This window comes from Homo sapiens, chromosome 8 (assembly GCF_000001405.40).
Source record: "Homo sapiens chromosome 8, GRCh38.p14 Primary Assembly".
In the NCBI taxonomy this organism is placed as follows: Eukaryota; Metazoa; Chordata; class Mammalia; order Primates; family Hominidae; genus Homo; species Homo sapiens.
This window is the reverse complement of record NC_000008.11, coordinates 104652299-104667865: the sequence shown is the minus strand read 5'-3', so window position 1 is coordinate 104667865 and position 15567 is coordinate 104652299. Positions and strand designations below refer to the sequence as shown.

The 15567-nt window shown below is 39.2% G+C and overlaps 2 annotated features.

Moving 5' to 3' along the window:
- Window positions 1866-3065: an enhancer, noted in NCBI's record as "P300/CBP strongly-dependent group 1 enhancer chr8:105677029-105678228 (GRCh37/hg19 assembly coordinates)". NCBI's record gives its function as "activates an origin of replication core promoter dependent on BRD2, BRD4, P300/CBP, MED14 and CDK7 cofactors, with strong dependence on P300/CBP, by STARR-seq in HCT116 cells {active_cell/tissue: HCT116}" and the evidence as "EXISTENCE:reporter gene assay evidence [ECO:0000049][PMID:35650434]".
- Window positions 2190-2239: an enhancer, noted in NCBI's record as "active region_27797". NCBI's record gives its function as "activates an Ori minimal core promoter by ATAC-STARR-seq in GM12878 lymphoblastoid cells {active_cell/tissue: GM12878}" and the evidence as "EXISTENCE:reporter gene assay evidence [ECO:0000049][PMID:35858748]".

Below are 15567 nucleotides of genomic sequence, written 5' to 3'. Positions count from 1 at the left end.
ACAATAATGAAATAAAAATTTTATGAAACTACACGAATCCTTACTATATTTAATGTATTCCTAGTTTTCTATCCTATGTCTTAAAAATTTTTTTTTCCTAAATTGTTACAGGTAGTCAGATAGGCGTCAGCTGGGCAGGAGAGGGCTCTCCCCCCACCCACTAGGAATGTCAGGTTCAACAATTACTTAAGTGGCTACGTAGTCTGGGGTATATACCCTGGGGTTCATCGTCTTGCGCCAGGAAAATTTAGGACATGGACACACACGAAGAGTTTATGAGCAGAGGTTTAATAGGCAGAAGAGAAGAGAAAGAGAAACAGCTCTCTCTCTATAGAGAGAGGTCTCCCAGCAGAAAGGACTGGTGGGCAGCAGATGTGCTGGATTTTATAGTCAGGTTTGAGGAGGCAGTGTCTGATTTACAAAGGGCTCACAGATTGGTTCCATCAGGTATGACATTTACATAGCATGTGGGAAGGCTGACCACCCCACCCTAATCTTACCATGCAAATGAACCCTCCTGTTAACCGGAGTCTGCTCCTTACTGTACATGTGGCTGATAAAGAGAAGGGAAGATGGGGCCGCCATTTTGAACACGATTGGCACAACTGCTGGCATCTATGACTGTGGCTCGATTTTACAGGCTGCTCTTTGTTAGAAAGGAAAATGATTTGGGGCTGCTTTTCATTAAAAAGAAAACCTTACTGAGGACTTCTGTACCCTCATTAGCCAACCTAAGTAATTTCTTCTTACCTCCTGTATCATTATCACACTGCCTCTCTAAAAATGATAATTTCACAGCCCACCAAGGGTGCCAGGGAGAGGCCATTTCCTGATGATCCACAGCTATTAACATTAAAGTGTTGACTGAATGCAGCTACTGGGGAGAAAAACCTTCTGGGCATGTGCACTTAAAGACAAAATGGTGAAACATGACCTTCCGGGTGCACTCCACTGGAAAAAGGGAAGAAAGCTTCAGATGGGCATGCATGCAACTTCCTACACACACTGTGTGTGCTCAGTTCCTAAGGGTAAGGAGAGCCCACCCTAAGGGAATAATCATGGGAAAGAGGGGCCTATATAGCCCTAGGATCAAGGCTAAACACTCCCTTCTCTCTTTGACCTCCAGGTGCCCTCTTGGATCTCTTCCAAGTGAACTTTCCTTTCTTTCCTGTTCTAAAGCTTTTTTAATTAAACTTTCACTCCCGCTCTGAAATTTGCCTCTGTCTCTTTTTCTGCTTTATGCCCCTCTGTTGAATTGTTGCTTCTGAGGAGGCAGGGACAGATGTTACTGCAGACCCATATGGATGTGACGCCAGAAACTTGGGGTAACTCAGATATCTGCCACATGTAACAAAATGACTGCTTTCGACCTGCTATATTGATTTATGACTCACTAAGGAGTAAGGACCTACAGTTTGAACAACACTGCCATAGAGCGTGGTAAAGCACCATGGTTTGTCACTACAGGGCTTAATAAGCACTCTAGTACCTACTAAGTATCAAACTAAGTTATCAGCTATAGAGGAAGCATGGGGCTTTCTGAAAAAAACAAAAGACCCCAGCAAAGTCTCAGAAAAGCTGCTGTTAAGAGGATTGTTGCCATCAGTGAAAGAAGCCACTAGAAGCAGTTGCTATCTCTCAAAGCTGTCAAAAATAATAGGATCAACTAAAGGGAGGAACCTAAAGGGAGGATTCTTGCTAAGAAGAGCAAGGCCAATAAGAGCAGGTGCCAGGAGCCTTTCACCATCAGGATGCTCCTCTGCTGAGAGAAATTGCCAAGTGCAGCTGAGGCATCCCTGACAGATGATTTGATGGTTAACAGGAACCATCATTATAGCATCAGAGTATCTGGATGGAAGAATTTCAATGCCCAGAGGTCTTTAGCTTTTTCCCTCTTTATAGACCTTGTCATCTTTGAAATCAAGAGAATTGTTGAGTTTTTCTTTTTAACATAGTTGTCACCAAAAAGGAAGAATAATAATTTTCTGGCTAGAAATCCAATAGAGCTAAAGGCTCAGAAAACCACATAGACACTGAGTTGTCAGCCCGCGATTTCCTGTGGCCCAGAAAAGAGGGTAAATGGGCTGCAATTTGTAGTAAGAGTCTCACAGCAAATGCAATGGTAAGCACAGTCTGCCGACTAAACTAGCAGAAGAAGTGGTGGGTGGGTGAAGATTACAGCAGGATATGACGGCAAAAGATTTTAAGGAGAGCCAAATATTTTAGAGCCTGAAGCAGAAAGATAAAGAGTGTAGTGTTTCTAAAATCAGACATCTAGGGTTACCAACCATCCTGGTTTGCCTGGGACTGTCCTAGTTTTAGTATGGAAAGTCCTGCTTCCCAGGAAACCCCTCCGTCCTAAGCAAACTGGGAAAATTGGTCACCCTGAGTCCAGTTAGTTTGCAACTTACAGATAGTGTGACTGCTACTCACAATCCCACTAACAGCATGACTCACTTAGTATCAGTGTGACTCAGCATCTCTCAGTAACTTACTTAGCACCTTTGAGATTTAGTTTCTTCATCTGTAAAATGAGGATACTAGTGCTTATTCACAACCAATAAAAGGAGATCAGAAGTACTTTTTGGTATCGTAGTTCTATTCCTGTACAGATGCAGAGGCTTGCCTCACAGTCAACTCTAAGCACAATAGCACCTAAGACAAGAATACAGAGAGAAAACTGAGTAATCTACCTTTAGACAGTATGGAGTCAGAAGGATTGTAGTACTAGGGTTCTAGCACTGATGGCAGCCTTTTTGCACCCTGGTAAGTTTTTGGGTTTTTTTGTTTTATCTTTTTGTAGAGGTGGGGTCTCACCATGTTGCTCAGGCTGATCTCGAATTCCTGTGCTCAAGCAATCCTCCTGCCTCAGCCTCCTGAGTAGCTAGAACTACAGGTGTGCACCATGGCACCTGGCTCGCCTTGGAGTGACTTAGGCAATGCAAAAATAGCCTGGCAGCCCAGAGCTTTCAGGAACAAAGTAATAGTAGGAGTTTGCAAAAAGAGTATGTTTATTATAATTTTGCACATATGCCCTGAAATGTCTGTGACAAATATGCAAGCTATCCAGCTTGTTTTGTCTTATAAACAGAACAAAAATTGTGGATAAGTTTATTAAATGTAGCCTGTCAAGTGTAAACAAATTGACATTATTCTGAGAGCAATATTATAGACAATTTACATTTTATTGCCTTTACATTGTCTCTCTCCTGTTGGAGGTAGTTTTTTGCCCTGCTTGGACTCATAGAGCTGGCTATTTTTATTTGAATAGCTGCACTTTCAGATTCATATGTTCCAATCAAGTTAATGGCCCTTGTTTTTGCTGCTGATATAGGTCATGACTAAGCTACTTCATGCTTGAATTTTTACTTCTTACCACAAGTGTTTCTAGACAATGACCATAAAAAATGACTTTTAAAAAAATCCAGCTTTTTAAGGTGATATCATTTGGTCAGGGTCTAATACTACCCCTTCAAGAAGAATGTTCTCGCAAGGTCGCTGTGCCCCAACTTTTAAAAAGCATGCTTTGGGGGGACTTTTTAAGTATAATGTCAAAAGAAGCTGTGGCATACGTTCATGAATGATAAACAGAGGTAAAATGAAAGCCAAAAAGAAACACTCTGGTCAGGGATGAGGTGTGGGAGGATTCAATGAAGAAGAAAAGTAAACCTTATCAACTACTATGAAGACCAAGAGATTTACCAGAGCAATGATGCACAAGTCTTAAGAAATGAATTGTGATCTTTAAACTATACTTGAGGAAAGAAATGAAATGAATAGACATAAAATTTTAACATGACTGGGAGAACATGAAATTTAGGAAAACAAAACTTCACAACCAAAAAATTCCCAACCATAATACTTAAAGGAAAGAAAATAATGTTTTGTTCCCCCTTCTATGTGCTCCAAGCACTGAACTGGCTGCTCTCCTTGCATAAATTTTGTGAGATAGGTATTGGAATCCATATTCAATCTAAAAAGAATAAGAAACTTATTGAAGGTTACATAGCATTAAGTAACTGCTGGGCTTTGAACTCAAGTCTGTCTGTTTCCAGAGTACATATATAGTTCAAATCAATTAATATAGCCAATTTTCAAAAATTGATTTGCATAAGACTTCTATTTTTAAGGACTTAAAAATTATGATTTCATTTGACTTATTTGTTAACTTCTAAACCAAGTGTCTGCCAATGTCTCTTAGGCCCATCCTCGAACTGTGAGCATTCATTCATAGCTGATAAACATAATTTTCTTAAAGGTTTTAGGCCACAGCAGAATGGGACATCAGATCTTTGCCAATTAGGCAGTAAGTATCAATTTTGAGAAGAGTCAGCTAGGTTTGTACCCCTCCTCAACTAGCAGTGGGACCTAGGCAAGTCATTTACTCTCTCTAAGCTTCAGATTCCTCATCTAAAAATGGGGATAATAATAGTATATGTCTCTAATAATCGTATATGTGTTTAAAGATGAAATTAAGTGGTATTAAAGCAATTCTCATAGCACCTGGTGAAGAATAGGGTTTTATCTGAATCACTACGTACAGTCATTTGCAGGGATCCAGGAGTTTGGTCATTTTCAAAGCAATCTACACATATCCTATATTGAAACAGAAATCCCTAGGATTAGTTAGGATCTATTTAATGTCCCAGGAGTTATGAGTATGTACTGAGGCTGCTTTGGCTTCAAACAACCCAGTCAATGCCTATAGAGACCTAGATAAAGATCGCTTTATACTGGGATTTGGGCACTTGTTTGGGCAGGCCATAAGAGATAATTATACCCACCTTAGTGCACTCAGCCAGAACAATCCAACGGCTGGCAAAGAAAGGAAGTACTGCCATTCATCTTCCATCTGTCTGTGACTGGGCCACACCAGTGCCTTGCCCTTGCCAATCCCTCAGTATTTAAGGATCAGAGTCATGCCATTTACCTTAGTATGCATCTTGAAGCATATGCAATAATTTATCCAGGCACTATTCTAAGGACTGGGGATGGAGAGGCAAGTAAGACAAACAAGGACCATTCTCCTAGGCAGCTCCCATTCCCAGTAGAGATACACACAATAAAAAATATGATTTTTCAACAGCAAAAGAAGTTATGAAAGAAATGAAATGGGACATTGGGATAGAGAGTGATTGGAGGGTCCAGAGTAATCTTAGAAGGCATCTCTGAGGGGTAACATCTGAGCTGGGACTTAAAATACTTTAGAAAGTAAGTGGTGACATAGGAAGTAAGGGAGGCAGTCATTAAAAGATCGTATTACATAAAAGCTAGTACACAAGACCCTGGAGTGTCTCAGAGATATTAAGACTGTAAAATAAATGCATTTTTTAACATATTCACAACGAAACCTCTTGCATCATAAGAGGAAGATTAACCATAAAGGTATGTCCACTTCTAAAGTATTTTGTCCAGACATAGCATCCTGCCTGTCTGCTTCTATTTCCTGCCATCTCTGTTCAAGACCAAGATACTATCCTTAAGTGAAAATGACTTTTACCTCTTTAAGCCTCTGTATCCTCATCCATCAAATGGAAATAACAATGCCTCAGAATTGTTTCATGACTTGTAGTGAGGACTAAAAGAGACCATAGACACAGAACCATCTACAGAGCATATGCTTCCAATCCACCTGAAAAAAAAATGGCAAATCTGTGTGACTTTGAATAGACATGAGAGAGATTCAGAGTGATGTTTTTTAATGTAGCTGTGTAGGATTTTTTTCATAAAAGTTTAAATATGTGAGATCTTTGCACTAACAAAAATATAAGAACCATAGAACCAAATAAGAAAAAGCAAAGCAGGCCAGGCACAGTGGCTCACTCCTGTAATCCCAGCACTTTGGGAGGCTGAGGAGGGCAGATCACTTGAGGCCAGGAGTTCAAGACCAGCCTGGCCAACATAGTGAAACTCTGTCTCTACTAAACATACAAAAAATTAGTTGAGCCTGGTAGTGTACGCCTGTAATCCCAGCTACTCGGGAGGCTGAGGCACAAGAGTCACTTGAACCCAGGAGGCAGAGGTTGCGGTGAGCTGAGATCGTGCCACTGCACTCCAGCCTGGGCGACAGAGCAAGAGTCTGCCTAGGAAAAAAAAAAAAAAGCAAAACAGATGAGTATTACAAGGTGAGGAAGGAATGGGAGAATAAAAAAGAGTGACATCCAGCCTCCAGAGGAATGAATGCAAGCCCCAGAGGATCTTGATGCTGCCTTGCCATCAGGAAAAGTACTGTGTTCCTGAGTCACAGAGTCCCATAGGCCTTGTTCCTGAAAGGCACATCAAGGAACCTTACTAGAAAAACTAACAGGCCTGAATTCATGTTTTCCCACACACAGCATTACTTTCCATCTCCTTTGGATTAAATCAATTTGGATGTTTTGTGAGCAAAAACATTATAGTAGAGAATTACAGTGGTTATTTTTTCATTCAGTCCACAAACATGCACTGATCCCTTTTCATGTACCATGTATCATGCAGGGCCCTATAGCTGGGAGAGTTGTGAGGTCCTCTTCACTCCTACTCTCATGTCAGGGCAGTGCTTCTGGGTGTGAATTCCCAATGGAATGAAATCAATTTACACAATGCTTGTGCACAAGTTCTTGAAATGGAATATTAAGCCATTGCTGTAAAGCTAATAGTGGATTAGCATATTCCCTTTGGAGTGTGGCAAAGGGAGTAGGAGGCATGGTTAATTACCAGAGGAGGTTTGAGAAAACTAGTCAGTTATCTAACAACTTAACATTCTCCAATGCTGTTTAACATTCAACAACTGTAAATGGAAATTGGCCCTAGCTACTACTTATTAAAACTAAGAGAGCACTGTCGAGAAAGATTTATGGTTTTAGCATCATCAAAATATGCATTTCCAGAAAAAATAAAAATCAAATGGCAAGAAACAGATGCTATTTGGAACTTAGCGAATACTTGGTATCATCTATAATTCAGATTACAAAACCTTTAAAAACATAGAGCATATCAAAAATAAAATATCCACTCACTAGTAAAATCAACATAGTATATAGTATTTTATCATTATGTATTACAAATACCCAGCTTTCTTTCCAATGGTCTTTGTGTCTGCATTTCAAATGATTGTATTCTCAACCTAAGCCAGGGTTATGCATTATTTCCCCAAACTAGTCTTAGAGAAATCTGTTTCCCATAATTGCCGCTTGTTTTGCTGAAACAAATCTAAACTCGGATAACTACTTAAAAATATATCTGTTTAGGGAGAGAAGGGTGTCTCATGTGTAAAACATGTAGCAGATTTATTCTGGGTTTTCTAGGCATGAATGAGGGCATCATTTACACAAATACATAACAGGTGACTTTAGAAACTTCATTTATAACTAAGTCTCCTTTATAGAACTTAAAAACTAGGATTCTATGCATCAAGCACAACATTAGATTTAGTATACAGCATTTCACTTGGTCTTTAAGGGTGGAGTAAGTATCATTATTCCCATGTTACATGAAATGACAAAACTGAAACTGAGTGGTTATGTTAATTTTCCAAGGTCATTTAGCCAGAATTCTGAAACGTCTGTCTGGTTCCAAAATCCATGTATGTTGTATAATATCCTGCTACTCTTATTGTCCATGGCTCCCTTTCAATGTCACCATAAAATGACACTATGGCAAAAAAAGTCAAATCATACCTGATTTTCTACATAGTTGTCTAGAACTAAAGAATCAGAAGGAACTCTAGAAATAATCTAGATTAAACATCTGATCTCAGATAAATGTATGGTATTTACCTGTAATGCTCAGAGGTAATAGTAATGCCACTGAAAATTGCAAGCTGGTATCCTTTTTGCTACCTAGTGTATTATTTTTAGTTTTGGAAGGCGTGTGGTGATATTTTTTGCTCAGAATTTTTTTTATCTTAATGATAAACAGAAATCACATTCAGTCCTCAGATTTGCTATTTGGATTTTCAACAATTTAGAGAAGTCTTCAGTTCAATAGCATTACATTTAGCTTTGGATTTCAACAACTTCAGAAACCCAGCTAAATTAGTCAGGAATCTTTCAATTGCAAGTGACAGAAATACAACCAAACTGACATAAGCAAAAACCATTTAAATGGCTCACGTGACTAAGTAGTCCAGAGGATTGTGGTTTTAGGCACGACTTGGCTCTAAATAAGCTCTCCTCATATGTTGGCAAGATGACCACCACCACTTCCAGGCTTGTGTTCTACCAGCTGAATGACCATAACGGTCTCTTTCCTAATAGTTCAGCAAAGTCTTGGGGTTGAATTTCATTGGCTCAGTCACTGTTAAACTAAGTGTCATGACTAGCAAATAAAAAATGTTGACTGGCAAGACTTCAGTCATCTGCCCATCACATGGACTTAGAGTTGGGGATGAGGGTGGGAGCCCAAAGGAAAACTGAGATACCATTTCCCAAAGGAAGAAAAATGGATTCTGAGCAGCTAAAAATAGCTGGTATGCACCCTGCACGGTTCTTACTTTATTGTTATGTCATTTTTTGTTTGCTGTTAACATAACAAATCACAGAAATTCATAAAGTACTTTCCCGAGAAGTACTTTCTTGTTCTCAGGATATTAGGATCAACTCTGTTCAAGAAGAACTTGGTATATAACATACACCTTCAGGCAATAAATGCCCAGTTCTAAACATTGACATTGCCAAGCTCCAAATGGTTCCCTACATCTATGGCCCCCTAAGGGATAGGCTCAACCACCTCTACCAGAGGACCAAACAAGACAATTAGGCAAAAGGTTTTCCAGGTGTATGGGCTCAATGCTCTGAAATTTAGCATCAGCATTTGTTAACTTCTGTATGCTTGATTGGAGAGCTTTTTGACACTTTACGAAAACAGATGAATAGGCAAGTCTTTTTGAGACTTTATGAAAACAGAACTAGGACTAAGTACTAGAAAGCAAGGGGGACTTGAAGGATATCCAAGAAGAGATAATCCCGCAAATAGCCCCAGCATCAAGGCATTGCAGGCACTGCTGTTACTTGTCAGGAAACGACAGCCTCAAGGTTTTCTATAGTTTTTTTAACCAGCCACACTACAGAGGACTTTGGTAGGAGGTTTGGGGAAAGGTGAGGCAACTATTCCAGAAGACAAGGTAAATATGGCATACTGGAGTCTGAGTATACAACTGTCAACTCATTTTACACTATACATCTACAAATATACCCTTTGTCAAAGGAAAAATTCAGCAATCCTAGAAATGCTAGGCTGCATGTGTATAACAACAAACACTGTATGTATTGTATGTGCTATGCACTAAGCCAGCTCCTTGACATGCCATATGGATAAAGAAATCAAGATCCATGGTGATTTAACAGCTTTCTCCAGGTCAAAGATTAGCAGGCAGCAGAGCCAGACTTTGAAGGCAGATCTGTCTGACTTAGAAAGGCTGACCTTCTCCAAGGGATTCATGTCTCCCTGCTGCTTCCCATAAGTGACTTGGTCCTTGCCACTTTCCAACAAATGTCCCAGATATCAACCTCCTCCCTCCTATTTTCTTGAGTCTCCAAATATCCTTTGCTCCTGAACTCCCCCTTATTGGACCCAGCTTTGGGTCTTCCTGGTGCCACCTGCTCTGACTACAACTGTTCTATTGAATAAGCCTCCTCTTTCCATGACTGACTTGGTTTGGCTCTGTGTCTGCACCCAAATCTCATGTTCAATTGTAATCCTCAGTGTAGGAGGTAGGGCCTGGTGGGTGGTGATTGGATCATGGAGGTGGTTTCTAATCCCCTAGTGTTGTCTCATGATAGAGTTCTCACAAGATCTGGCTATTCAAAAGTGTGTGGTATCTTCCCCTTTGGTCTCTCTTCTGCTCTGCCATGTGAGGATGTGCCTGCTTCCCCTTCGCTTTCCACCATGATTGTATGTTTCCTGAGGCCTCCCCAGCAATGTTTCCTGTACAGCCTGTGGAACTGTGAGTCAATTAAACCTCTTTTCTTCATAAATTACCCAGTCTCGGGTAGTTCCTGATAGCAATGCAAGAATGGACTAATACAATAACCTATCACCTGGACCAGTTTTTTTTTTTTTCCTAGAATTTGCTGGGTTTGTTCTCTTGCTCACTCCTACCTACGTGGGCTTTCCAGACTCTAGTATCTGCCAGTCTATCCTGTTTTGCTGAAGTTAATGAAATTGACCTTTTCAAGTTCCAAGATAATCACTGTAATCTTCCTTTGGTTTAATGAATATATTCATCAACAGAAAGAAAAAAATGTCTTTAGGCATTCTTCTAGTAAAAAGCTTCAAATTTAGGCTCTTGATTCACAAACTCTAAGAGTAAGTGGAGTGTAAAAAGATGAGATTGTGGCCTATGTAATTTAAAAGTGTATCCTATTATTGAGAAACTCTCTAGGGGATGAGAATTTCTGCAGCTACCTGGAGTGTAGCCTGTCAACAGAAATAAATTTTATATATACATGGACTTTAACCTCTCAGTCCTGCTTCTGGTACTTTATAGAGACAAAAACTTCAGAACCTACAAGTATATATATAAGTATGTTTGTTATAGCACTGAGAAAGTTGGCAAAACTTACAACAACCTGCATAGGAGAGAAGTTGAATGAATCATAGTACATTCAAGCTAAGAATGCAGCTCTTTAAAAGAATTAGCTAGATCAATAACTTAAGCTGCATGGAAAGTCTGGTCCCTTAGGGCAGCTTGATGCTCTAAATACCCTGTAAACACCTACTGATGAATGAGCCATGGACCATCCTTCTACATTCCTCAGCCAGTCTCACCCTGACCTGGCTCTACCACTCCAAATTCCTAGCTCATCCCCTCACCTTGAACCTATTTTTGGCCTTTTGGCCTTTGCTATTAGGTCACCCTCATATTTAACTCTCACTATTCCCCCAATGGACTCTAAAAGTAGCCCTTAAAAAGAGTGAGTCACATGCATATATATGGAGCTACAGGAAAGTCTAGAATGTTGCAGGGAATTGTATTATAGGATGTCATTTTAGAAAAACAAACAGTGGCCAAGGATATAGATACAGCTGTAGATAGATAGACAGATAGATATTTTTAAGAATTTGAAGAAAGTTACAAAAATTTTTTTCACTGGGGTGTTTTTCTTGATAACCTCAGATGTTAAGGATGGAAATAGGGACATGGTGAGGATATATTCCTATGATTTTTTTAAAAATTTAGTAATCTTTGATTTATTTCAACAGTTAAGTCATCACATGTAATTAATATAATTTTGGAAGAGAACTTCAATAACAAATTTTAAAGGAAAAATAAAGTTCAATAAATATACCCATGAGGAAAGGGAGCATAATAAAAAAACTTCCCCTTTACAACTTCAGGGACAACTCTTAGCTCTGTGAATGCCACCCTCTTCCATCTCCTAGGAAAACAACTTAAGAATACAATAGGAATGGTGCTGTCTGGAATTATATAACACAGCAGCCCAATATTAGCCATTCCAGGAAAAAGGAACAGCAAGGGAAAAACATGGAGAGGTGAACCTCTGAGCAGTATGAGATTGGCACACATGTAGAGGACAGGAAAAGATGAAGCTGTACAGGACAGCACAAACTAACAAGCTTGCAAATTTTGCTAGCAAATCTCAAAACATGTTTTTCTCAAAAAGAGAAATGACAGATAATGATTTATTTCATAACACACTCCTATGAGCACACCACAGTTTGATAAAGTCCAACACTGTAATAATACATAATCACCTTTGGTAGTAACTATCAACACATTTGGAATGGGAGTAGCTTGCAAAAGATTTCAACATTGGCCTATGATAGGCCTCGGATTATATGCAATTCCCCAAGAATTACTTGTAACACTGTACCTATCATTTCCAATCAAGAAAGCACCTCAAATGAGAGACTGACAAAGTATGATTTAGAGAATAGATTTGCTCTCATTTGTATCGGGAAAAAAACTTCACAAACTTTAGTACGTCATTATGAGCAACAAATTGCATGAGACACACCTAAATGTGACTGCACACACACCTAGTTGATTGTAACACACTAGGATATTCTGACTTTATATCGGAGATTGTTATGGCAAGTAGTGAGGTTCTAAGTAGAATTCTAAACGTGATTGTTAGAAATGGAGTAACATAATTTGATTCATATTTTCTAAAGTCCCCTTTAACAACAGCACAGAGAACAATATCTACCCAGTCCCAGATTCCAGTCTGGGATGCCAATCACCATGTACACACCCACTGACCAACAGACATAAACCATGGACCATTCTTGTAGGTTCCTCACCTACTCTCAGCCTAACCTAACTCTACCCAACTCAAAATTCTTCGTTCATCCCCCAGCTAAGAACCCCTTAACAGAAAAACAAAACTCTGTAAAATATTTTAAAGAGGTTTATCCTGAGCCAATATGAGTGACTGTGGCCCAGGGGAAACATAAACTCAAGAAGCCTTGAGTAAGTGATCCTGAGGCGGTCAGATTACAGTTTGGTTTTATACAGCTTAGGGAGGCAGTAGTTACAGGCAAAGTCGTAAGTCAGTACATAGAAGGTGTACATTGGTTTGGCCCAAAAGCAGGGGTTTACAGGTTATATATATATACAGATTATATATAGATGGATTTGGAGATTTTTTAATTTGCAGTTGGAGTAAGGCTCTGTCTGAAACTTGGAGTCAGCAGAAAGGAATGTTTAAGTTATGTCAGTGTCAGCCACAAAATATTGGGTTCAAGCAACCTGTTAAGATTGACAGCCTGCAAGTGTGACTTAACCTTTGCCTCACATGGCCTTAGGTCTTACTTATAATTTGGTATCTTATTGCCACAAAGAGTCTGTTTTGTCAGTCTTACAATCTCTATTTTTAACATTAATGTTGGTCAGTTGTGACTAAACTCCAAGTGGGGGGAGTATAATGAGGCACATCTGACCTCCCTTCCTGTCATGGACAGGAACTCTGTTTCGGGTTTCTCTGAGGGTCCCCTTGGCCAAGCAGGGGTCTGTTCAGTTGGTGGAGGGCTTAGGATTTTATCTGTAGTTTACAAACCTATCTTTGGCCCTTTAGCCTTTGGTATTTGAACCCTCCAGTGTTTAACTCTCCATGTTCTCCAGTGGACTCTGATTTCAACATGTCTGTTGACTTCCTCCACTCGTAGGCCACTTTGAACAGGAGAGTCTAGGCTGGTCTTGCCTCCTCATACTCAATACCCACTGCTGGCCTTGATGCAAATCCCAGCTGGGCTAGTCCCAGGTGCTCCCTAAGGAAATGACTGGAAATGATGAGTTAGGGGTAGTGGGAACTGGAGGCAAAAAAACTGGGGAGAGCAAAATTATAACAATTCAAACCAGAGGCAATGGTGAACAAACTAAACTTGGAAATATTACACTGCACAAAGAAAGTACTGAGTTGACAATGACTAATTCTAAGAGATGAATTGTGAAAAGTGCACTAAAGTTACTAACTTAAGCAAATATATACCACACACACATACACACACACACACACACACACACACACACATAGAATACATAATATAAATTGAACCTTTGATATTAACTTTAATTCCTCCACACTCAGGAACTTATTGAAACAAAAGTTTTAGCCATACATACTTTTAAAATATGATTCTGAAATGTTTTATTTTATCTCCATTATAAGAAACAATTTCTTTTTTCAGGGCTTTCATAGTCATTGCAGAAAATTATTTCACTGCATACAATTGCTCAAACTTCAAACCCTAAGCATAGTATCTCAGGGTTCATAAATCAACCTCAGTGTGTTTTATAAGGTCATTTTTTCTTTTAGTTCAAATTGTACCTTAAAAGGTATCATAACATCATGGGTGTTGTGCTTAGTGGCAATAAAGACACCAATATCTTACTTGCAGCCCACTTCGTGCTTTTATGCAATCCTCTTGGTCCCTGTTTACATTTATGTTAGTTGCTTGGCTCCTGTATGCATTTCAGTTTATTATCTCTCATATTATTTTCATAGCTATATCTATATATCAATTTATCTGCTACTACTCAGATGCACATAATATGGGATTTACAGTGCCTTCATTCTCCCCCAATATTCATTTGCCAAAGTTGTTATTGCTGCTGCTGTTACTGCTGCTGCCTATAGCTAGGAATTCTTTCTCCCACCTCCTGCCCCGTTTTCTCCTTCTGTCTCCATTTCCCCCTCCCTTATTCCTTCCTACACCTTCCTCAAGGATTATAAATTCAGACTGAGTATTACCTGAAAAGTGACCTCCACAGTACCAAAGTCATGACACTAGCTTACTTCCTGGGTTACACTATTAGGCATCAGCCTGGGTCCTGGCCAGCCAACTCCTGCAGGAACACCAGTTAGTAGTTTCATGGCCTTCCATCAAAAAGCCTGAATAAAACTATTTTTTAAAAAGGCTAATTCATTACATCATTTGAGAAATCTTTCACTCTGCTCAGTTAGATTGTAAATCAGGTGACTCTACAGCATTAGACATATTTCTAATCAGCATCTAATTACATCATATCACAAACAAACCATCAGCATCACAAATTGTTTATATTTCTTATCTTCAAACATAATCTACCTTTTTTAATTCCCAGTGTTTTACATCTCTCTGCTTAGGAAAAGAAAATGTAGCAGTTCTAATAACATTTTTAATTTTGGTAAGGGTGGGATGGACACTGTTCACTATGGCAATTATCCTTCTCTCCCTGTGTTATGGATTGAATGTTTGCACCTCCCCCAAATTCATACCTTGAAGCCTTAACCCCTAATGTGATGGTATTTGGAGGTGAGGCATTTGGGAGGTAATTAGGTTTAGATTAAGTCATGAGGGTGGGACCCACATGATGGGGTTAATGCTCTTATGAGAAGAGGTAGACAGATCTCTCTCTCTCTTTCTTTTTTTTTTTCTCTCTCTCTCTCTCTGAGCAAACAGCAAGAGGGCGGCAGTCTGCAGCCAGAACTGTGAGAAATAAATGTCTATTACTTAAGCCACCCAGTCTATGGTATTTTGTTATAGCAGCTCCAGCTGACTAAGATACCTGGTAATGAATGTAATAATCATAAAAATCAAAATTAATAAACAAGTTGCACATCTGATGACAAGTCATCAGCACATTAACTTCTCTGTATGCAGAACTAGACATGTTGCCTTATTTGTTGGTGACTCTGAAATGATCTGCATTAAAACGACCATCTGCTCTGCTTGATTTGTAAAGTGGAATTAAGAGAAGAAACAGTAAGTTTATCGTTAGTACAACTTAAGCTTATGTAACAGAAGGTAAATGATCTTTCATTTAGAGGAAGTGAACAGAATATTCTCCAAGGATATAACTTAAATTAATGCTTGTTTTGTGACAATTCACGTGGATTTTTCATTTGGATGGTTTTGTCTCCAGTGGACTTAATGAAAGCTGAATATTCACACTTTTCTGACTTGAACATTGAATTGTTGCATTTTATCACTCTTCCATGCTTCATCTGTGATAAGAAGCAGCAAACATTGTATAAAAATTTCAAGGCCAATTAGGTTATTAATGATTATTTTTACTTTCTGTTCTGTGCAGACTATTGATGGCATCTTGTTTATAGAGTTTCCTACTGATTATGGTGTTAG